The following is a 10079-nucleotide window of genomic DNA, read 5'->3' as shown; positions in this document are numbered from 1 at the left end:
AAATCATGTGAGATTTACAAATAAAGATAGTTTTATTCCCTTTCAACCTGCATGCCTTTTCTTTTTTTCCTTTTGTTTGTATTCTTGTATTTGCTATGATTCCAGTAAAATGTTGAGAGGGAGTTTTGAGAAATCATACTCTTGTCCTTGATCGTAGCAGAAAAGTTTTCAGTTTATCAAGATTAAATGTGATTTTAGCTCTAGGTTTTTTGGTAGATGTTCTTTATTAAGTTGAGAAAGTTCTCAATCTATTCCTAGCTTGCTGAGAGATAATGAATGGGTGTCGGGTTTTGTCAAATGCCTTTTTAACACTTATTGATATGATCACATAATTTTTCTTTTTAGCTTGTTGATGTGGTAGATTACATTAATCACTGCTTAAATTTGAATGAGGCTTGCATATTTGAGATAAATCCCACTTGGTTATGTTGTAGATTTATTTTTTAATTTTCATGGATTGAGAATAGCTATTCATATTTATGGGGTATATGTGATATTTTGATACAAGCATTCATGGATAATAATAGAACCTGGATAATTGGGATATCCATCACCTCAAATATTTATTTTGTGTGTGTGTGTTGGAAATGTTTCAAATCTCTTTGAGCTATTTTAAAATATATGATAAATTAGTATTGTTAGCTATAGTGATCCTATTGTGCTACTGAGCACTAGAACTTATTTTTTTTATCTAACTGCATGTTTGTAACCATTAAACAACCTTTTATTTTATTTATTTTTCAAGATGGAGTTTTTGCTCCTGTTGCCCAGGCTGGAGTACAAAGGCACAATCTCAGCTCACTGCAACCTCCACCTCCCAGGTTCAGGCGATTCTCCTGCCTCAGCCTCCTGAGTAGCTGGGATTACAGGTGTGCACCACCATGCCTGGCTAACTTTTGCATTTTTAGTAGACACGATTTCACCATGTTGGTCAGGCCTGTCTCGAACTCCTGACCTCAGGTGATCCACTCGCCCCGGCCTCCCAAAGTGCTGGGATTACAGGCATGAGCCACAATGCCCTGACTAATCAACCTTCCTTAATCCCTCCAACACACACTTCTCTTCCCAGCCTCTGGTAACTACCTTTCTATTTTTTACCTCCATGAGATCAATTTTTTTAGCTCTGATGTATGAGAGAATATGTGATATTTGTCTTTCTGTGCCTGGCTTATTTCACTTAACAAAATGTCTTTCAGTTCTATCCATGTTGCTGCAAATAACAAGATTTCATTCTCTTTTTAATGGCTGAATACTATTCCATTATGTATATTTATCACATTTTCTTTATCTATTCATGTTTTGATGGACACTTTGAATGATTCCGTGTCTTGGTTATTGTGAACACTGCTGAAGTAGTGGAAATGCAGATATCGCTTTGATATATGATATATATTTTTCTTCTTCTTTTTTTAATGCAGCAGTGAGATTGCTGGATCATATACTAACTAGATCCAGTTCTAGCTTTTTGAGGAATCTCCGTACTGTTTTCCATAGTGGTGGCACTAATTTACAGTTCCCCAAAAAGTATACAAGTGTTCTTATTTCTCTGCATCTTCACTAGCATTTATTATTTTCTGTCTTTTTGATAATAGTCATTTTGACTGGAGTGAGATTATGTTCCACTGCACTTTTTTTTTTCTCTTTTTTTTTTGAGACGGAGTCTCACTCTGTCACCCAGGCTGGAGTGCAGTGACCCGATCTCGACTCACTGCAAGCTCCATCTCCTGGGTTCACACAATTCTTCTGCCTCAGCCTCCTGAGTAGCTGGGACTACAGGCGCCCGTCACCACGCCCGGCTAATCTTTTGTATTTTTAGGAGAGAATGGGTTTCACCATGTTAACCAGGATGCTCTCGATCTCCTGACATCATGATCTGCCTGCCTCGGCCTCCCAAAGTGCTGGGATTACAGGTGTGAGCCACCGCACCCAGCCTCCACTGCAGTTTTAACTTGTATTTCCCTGATGGTTAGTAATGCTAGGCATTTTTTCATATACCTGTTGGCCATTTGTATGTCCACTTTTGTGAAATGTCTTTTCAGACAATTTGCCCATTTTAAAATCAGACTAATTTTTTTGCGATTGAGTTGTTTGAGTTCCTTATATATTTTGATTATTAATTCCTTGTTAGATGGGTAGTTTGCAAATATTTTCTTTCATTCTGCAAGTTGTCTCTTCACTTTGTTGACTGTATTCTTTGTTTTCCAGAAGCTTTTTAGCTTGATGTAATTCCATTTGACAATTTTTGCTTTGGTTGGCTGTGCTTTTAAGGTCTTATTCAAGAAATCTTTGCCCACACCAATGTTCTAAAGTGTTTGCCCAATGTATATTTTATTGTAGTAGTTTATAGTTTCAGAACTTACACATAAATATTTAACCCACTTTGAGTTGATTTTGGTGTAGATGGTGACAGATAGGGTTTTAATTTTTTTCTGCCTATGAATATCCAGTTTTGCCTGCAGCATTTATTGAAGAGACTGTCCCTTTTTCAATGTATGTTCTTCATGCTTTTGCTGAAAAATGTGTTGGTTATGAATGCATGGATTTATTTCTCAGTTCTCTATTCTGTTTTACTGGCCTATGTTTCTGTTTTCTTTTTTTTTTTTTCTTGAGATGGAGTCTCGCACTGTCGCCCAGGCTGGAGTGCAGTGGTGTGATCTCAGCTAACTGCAAGCTCTGCCTCCTGGGTTCACACCATTCTCCTGCCTCAGCCTCCCAAGTAGCTGGGACTACAGGCACCCACCATTATGCCCAGCTAATTTTTTATATTTTTAGTAGAGACGGGGTTTCACTATGTTAGCCAGGATGGTCTTGAACTCCTGACCTCGTGATCCACCCGCCTCGGGCTCCCAAAGTGCTGGGATTACAGGCGTGAGCCACTGCACCTGGCCTATGTTTCTGTTTTCATGCCAGTACCATCCTGTTTACTATAATTTTATAATATATTTTGAAGTCAGATAACGTGATGCCTCCAGCTTTGTTCTTTGTGCTCAAGATTGCTTTGGCTATTTGTGGTCTTTTTTTGGTCCTATATAAATTTTAGAATTTTGTTTCCTATTTCTGTGAAGAATATCATTGCTACATTGATAGATATTGCATTGAATATGTTAAATGCTCCAAGTAATATGGACATTTGAACAATAATAATTAGTCCATTCCATAAACCTCGAATAACTTTTCATCTTTTTGCATGTCCTGTTTCATCAGTGTTTTATAGTTTTTTTTTTTTTTGAACTTTTAAGTTCAGGGTACATGTTTAGGTTTGTTACATAGGTAAACTTGTGTCATGGGGGTTTGTTGTACAGATTATTTCATCACCCAGGTATTATGCCTAGTACCTATTAGTTATTTTTCCTGATTCTTTCCCTACTCCTACCCTCCACCCTCCAATAGGTGAGCGTTTTTCTCCTCTATGTGTCCATGTGTTCTCATGATTTATCTCCTACTTATAATTGAGAACACTCAGTATTTGGTTTACTGTTCCCGCATTAGTTTGCTAAGGATAATGACTTCTAGCTCCATCCATGTCCCTGCCATGGACATGATGGCATTCTTTTGTGTGGTTGCATAATATTCCATGGTGTACATGTGCCATATTTTCTCTATCTGGTCTATCATTAATAGGTATTTAGGTTGATTCCATGTCTTTGCTACTGTGAATATAGCTGCAATGAACATACACATTCTGTCTTTATAACAGAATGATTTATATTCCTTTGGGTATATACCCAGTAATGGGATTGCTAGGTTGAATGGTATTTCTGTCTGTCTTCTACTATGGTTGGACTGATTTACACTTCTACCAACAGTATATATGTGTTTCTTTTTCTCCACAACCTCACCAGCATCTGTTATTTTTTGACTTTTTAATAATAGCCATTCTGACTGGTGTGAGATGGTATCTTATTGTAGTTTTGATTTGCATTTCTCTAATCAGTAATGTTGAGCTTTTTTTCATATGATTCTTGGCCATATGTATGTCTTCTTTTGAAAAGTGTCTGTTCTTGCCCTTTGCCCACTTTTTAATGGGGTTGTTTTTCTTGTAGACTTCTTTAAGCTCCTTACAGGTGCTGGATATTAGACTTTATAGTTTTCATTATAGGGATCTTTCACTTCCTTGGCTAAGTTTATTCTTAGGTTTTTTTTTTGGTAGCTATTGTAAACAGAATTGCTTTCTTGATTTCTTATGCAGATTGGTCACTCCTGGCATATAGAAATACAAATTATTTTTGTATGTTGATTTTGTATCCTGAAATTTTACTGAATTTGTTTGTCACGTATAACAGTTTTTTTGGTGGAGTCTTTAGGTTTAGGTGATAATATGTGGTGGGAGGAGAAGCATTTTGTAGTCTTATGATTATGTCTCAGCTTTTTAGTAAGCCTAACCTTTTGGACTGTGAACTTCCCATGTGTTTCTCAATTTTTTTCTTCCCTAACAGGTGGGAAAGGAGAGCTAGAGTGGGCTGGGGTTGGGTATTTTTCTTCTTCCCGGTCAGTTAGGTGCCAATAGTACTCCAGCAGTTAGGCTGTGTTTAACTAGTTTCTCCTGAATGCAGACCTGTTAGTAACAACTGAGTGCTCTGGCATATTTTAAAATGGTTCCTTTTCCTCTCCCCCTGTCAGCACCATGTGGACATTTTCCCCCAATATTTACTGTGAGAACCTGGTAGAGCTGCTTGAGATAAATCTCATTAAATTGTCCCCCCTACCACCATACCCCTACCATAAATTTATTTCTTCTGGAGTATTTAACTCTCATTTTTATTGACACTGATACTCCAGCAATTCATTAATTACAGTTCAGGTTTTCCTACCCTGGTGCTGGTTCCTGCACTTGTAAGTCTCTGCCCTATTTAAGCTGAGACTCCCTGTATTCACCCGTCTGTCTGGCTAATCTTGACAGCAGTGTTTTTTTCTGTGTCTTCACTTTTCTTATAAACTGTAGAAGAATTGTTAATTTCTCAGTCTTTTCAGTTTTGTTAGGATGTATGGACACAGTGCTGACTTTCAAGATTCTTACATTTGAACTGGAAACAGAAACTTGGTTAATTTATGGAGAAAAAAATATTGCATCATGGAGAAAAAATGCAAAGTTATGAAAAATTATGTTTTATGTTAAAAAATTATCAAATATTTTGTAGTATCAGTTTAGATTAAAAAATACAAGGAGAGGGCAGAGAGGAGAGAGAGAAAGAATGAATTATTTTTTTCTGTCCTTGAAGCAGAAGAGTTAGGCAGGATGATCAATAAATGGCAGCTGTCAATATACTTCTGCCTTGCCACTTAAGACCTGAATAAATATTCAGTACTGCTTTTCTCGTTTTCTTATTAAAGTTATGTAGTATAATTCTTGTGGTCCCAAGTCTTGGTAAAATTAGATACTCACAAATATTTTCTAGGATAACGTAAGGGGAGATGTGTTTCACTTCTTTCCATAGGGAAGGGACAGAAAATAGCCATCATGAGATGAGAGATGCTTAGGTGGCTGAGATTTTAGGTTCAACAAGAACTTTAAGCAATGACGTGAATATGAGAATTTAGGTTCCCTAATATTTTGAAAATCTTGCCAGGTAATTTTTCACTTTTCATCAGAATTGAGATAGACAGTTTGAGACAATTTATATAAATTACAAAAGACAAGACAGTATGAGTAACATCTAGGTATATATATATGGGATGAATTTTTGTGGCTTTTTATGAATAGCTGAACATTTGTTTTCTAATGTCACTATTCCTTTAAAGCTATGTTGAATTTTAGATACAAGGTTCTTAAATAATGATAAAGATTTTATTAATGTGTGATGATACCAGGGGCATCAATTTTTTAATAGATATACAAACTGTCACAATTTAATTTAGAGACAGAAGTCTTGATAGTTGACTTTTACTTTCTGCCAATTCTGATATGAGAGAAATGGTCAATTGTGTAAACAAAATAATTCAACATGAAGGAAACCTCTGTATGTTAATCCCCTACACAATGGCAGGCCATTTTCTTTTCTTTTCTCTTTTTTTTTTTTTTTTTTTTGAGACTGAGTCTCACTCTGTCGCCAGGCTGGAGTGCAGTGGCGTGATCTCAGCTCATTGCATCCTCTGCCTCCCGTGTTCAAGTGATTCTCCTGCCTCAGCCTCCCGAGTAGCTGGGACTACAGGCACACGCCACCAAGCCCAGCTAATTTTTGTATTTTTAGTAGAGATGGGATTTCACCATGTTGGCCAGGATGTTCTCATGATCTGCCTGCCTCAGCCTCCCAAAGTGCTGGGATTACAGGTGTGAGCCACCATGCCCGGCCGCCATTTTCTAATTCTAGGATTTAAGTGGTGAATCAAACAGAGCTCTTGCCTTGATGAGCCTGCAAATTAGTGGGGAAGAATGAATCAACTACATTCATTTTGTTTTAAGTTTTGGGAAAAAATATAGTGTGAACTTAGCACATGTGAGATAAATCCAACCTAGGATGGGGTGGTGTATATTTTGGCTTAGGAATGCTGAGATATGTAGATGAAATTGAGGTGTAGTGGATGCCTTGATTCTCTGCCCAAATTCCCGTTAAGAATGAAGAAAATATTATTGAACCTGCTGCAAGTGCTGTCAGAAGTCAGATCTCAGTTCTCAACCCTTCCTGGAGATCTCTGCTACTGAAAAACACTACTTCATTCAAGTTTATGCCTTTTTCTGGGGGAAGCACACTGAATGAAGCATAAAGACACAGCTGTCCAAGCAAACCTAGGACACATCAAAAGGGCCATTCTAGCTCTAGATTTTCCGCTGGGGTCTGCTGAGGCCTTTGTTGGATGGCATTGCAACTTAGTTTTTCCTACCCACTCCTGATTCATTCTCTACCTTTTCATGGGTATTGATTTAAATAAATCTCTGAGTCAGAGTCTGTTTTTGTGGGACAAACAGCATTATTGGAAGATTGCTAGATTTATTAAAGTATTCCAATAATAGGGATAGAAGTGTCTATCAAGATCTGGAGATGAAGGGAAATTTTTATATTAAAGAAACTTGGAATAAGGATGTCGTGGTCAGTATGGCTGGAGTAATAAGGAGAATGTTTGACACTAGGATATGAGACCCTTGAGGGAAGGTATTTTTGTCACTTAGGTTTACAGACATGAACTTCAATGCATAATTACTACCTGGAGGAAAAAAATGGGAGCATAGAGGGGTGACTTGTGGAAATCAAGGGCAACAATGCAACTGATTCATAGGATGTGGCTAGAAAGAGAAGCAAAAAACACCAGGACTGTCTCATTCTCTTCTCATTCTGTAGAAAGATTTTTCCTCTGCTTTTCAGTTCCATATGTTTGGATTTGTCTACTTCAGACTCTTCTGAATACTATATCAGTCTTGACTCTAAATTCCTAGGAAATGAACTAATACCATGTGGCTCTACTCCTAGCCCATTTAGCAGTGGCCTTGAGGAAAATGTCACATGGCATGTCATCGTTCTTACCCTTCCTCTTTCAGATGAAAGGGCTTTGGAGTTCTTGGGAAACAGAAATAATTGTGGGATTTGCCCATCTTTAAAAAATAAAATGCTTTTTAAGAAAATTTCTAATTTATAGAAAAATTTATAAGATAGCATCAATAATTCCCATATGCTCTATACCAAATTTCTCTTGTAATTAACATTTTACATTAGTATGGTATGTTTGCAACAATAAATGAACCATGATTAATAACCATTATTACCTAGAGTTCATAGTTCATTCCTATTTGCATGGTTTTTACCTATTGCTCTTTTTCTGTTCCAGGATCCCTCATTACATTTAGAAGTTATGTCTCCTTAGGCGATTCTTAATTGTGATAGTTTCTCAGACTTTTCTTGTTTTTGTTCACCTTGATGGTTTTGAGGATGACTGCTCAGGCATTTTGTAGGATGTCCTCTATTGTAATTTGTCCATTTTTATCATAAGTATAGTGGGGTTATGGTTTTGTGACTATAAGCCTAAAGTTTAATTTTCATCCAATCTTAACAAGGGTACATATTGTCAAGATGATTTTTTATTGCTGATGTTGGCCTGATGTCCTGAGAATGTGTTTATCAGGTTTACTCACTATAATGTTATTCTCCTTCCCCCCAACCCCATTATTCTTTCAATAGTGTAGTCTTTGTAAGGAAGTGATTATACATATCCCACACTTAATGTAGTGAGTTATTTTGCCCCTTCTCCTAGAAGGTAGGGTATCTACATAAAAAAAAAACTATTTGGAATTTCCTTGCACAGGGGATTCGAGTCATCTCACCAATTTATTAATGTACTAATAATGTATTGACATCAATATGGAGAGATTTATTTTATACTTTGGGTTATAATCCAAAGCTACTTATATAATTTTGCTCAAATTGTTTCAGCTTTGGCCTTTGGGAGCTCTTATCTGTTTGTTTTGAGTAATTTTAAAATTTCTGAAACACCAAGATATTCAAGGCTTATCTTACATACTTCCCACCCAACTCTTAGTATCAGTTATTTCTCTGGGGAAACCTGGTTCCTTTTATGGGAGAATGATAAGGCAATCAAGATATGGGTGCTAAATTTAGATGCTATTGGTATTCTTTCTTTTAGGCCTTCTCAGTTGATGGAGTAATGAAGTATTTGTGTGGATATGAACCAATATATGAATAAAGAAAGAAAGAAGGAAGGAAGGGAAGAAAGGAAGGCAGGCAGGCAGCGGGAAGGTGAGAAGGAGGGAAAGAAGGAAGGAGGGAAGGAGAGAAGGAAGGAAGGAAGGTAGGTAGGTAGGTTGGTTTCTCTATGTAATCATTTGGATCTATATAAGCCAAACATGAGTTTACACTGAGGTCGCCAACTCTAATTCATTACCGCATATACTATACTATTCTAGAGCCTTCCTTTTGCTTATCTATAAAATCTCACTACAACTTGAGAAACCTCACTCTTTTTTTTTTTCTTTTTCTTTCTTTTTTTTTTTTTTTTTTGAGACAGAGTCTCGCTCTGTCGCCCAGGCTGGAGTGCAGTGGCGCGATCTTGGCTCACTGCAAGCTCTGCCTCCTGGGTTCACGCCATTCTCCTGCCTCAGCTTCCCGAGTAGCTGGGACTACAGGCACCTGCCACCACGCCTGGCTAATTTTTTTGTATTTTTAGTAGAGACGGGGTTTCACCTTGTTAGCCAGGATGGTCTCGATCTCCTGACCTCGTGATCCCACCCGTGTCAGCCTCCCAAAATGCTGAGATTACAGGCGTGAGCCGCCGCGACCGGCCGAGAAACCTCACTCTTATTAGATGTCAATAATTTCCTTAGTTGTTCTGTTTCAATATACATGCATAACAATATCAGAATTGTTAACCACTACCCCCATAGGAAATGTTGTCAACTAGAGTACAGTGCTTATAAGCACCTTGCTTTGCTTTTAGTCTTTCTCATTTATGAAGTTACTTAGGTTAGTACTTTTTCCCACACATCATTTAGTGAGGTTGTTTCATATAATGTAACAGAGTTTTGATTATCAGTGTCTCCATTCTTTCTTGTAATCTCCTTTTCTGTTTAGCTCCTAATAATTTCACTGTACACATTTAAATTGACTTTCTTTTTTGAGACTGGGTCTTGCTCTGTTGCCCAGGCTGGAGTGCAGTGACACAATCATGGCTCTCTGCAGACTCAACCTCCCAAGCTCAAGCAATCTTCCCACCTCTCAGCCTCCCGAGTAGTTGGGACCAAAGGGGTGCGCTGCCATGTCTGGCTAATTTTTTGTATTTTCTGTAGAGACAAGATTTTGCTATGTTGCCCAGGCTTGTTGTGAACTCCTGGGCTCAAGCGATCCTCCTGCCTTGGCCTCCCAAAGTGCTAGGATTACAGGCATCAGACATCATAAGTGGCCAAGGCTCACTATTTGCATTGAATAGTTTTATGAATTTTTACTAATTAATATATGTTGTCATGTACTCACCATTACATAATTATACATTATAGTTTTACTGTAGTAGAACATCCCATATGCTTCATCTAGTCCACTCTCACCCTTTCTTCTATAAATTCCTGGAAACCACTGATCTTTTTTTGTTTTTTGAAACTGAGTCTTGCTCTGTCGCCCCAGGCTGGAGTGCAGTGGCAC

This window comes from Homo sapiens, chromosome 11 (genome assembly GCF_000001405.40).
Source record: "Homo sapiens chromosome 11, GRCh38.p14 Primary Assembly".
Lineage (NCBI taxonomy): Eukaryota > Metazoa > Chordata > Mammalia > Primates > Hominidae > Homo > Homo sapiens.
Note: the sequence above shows the minus strand (reverse complement) of the source record.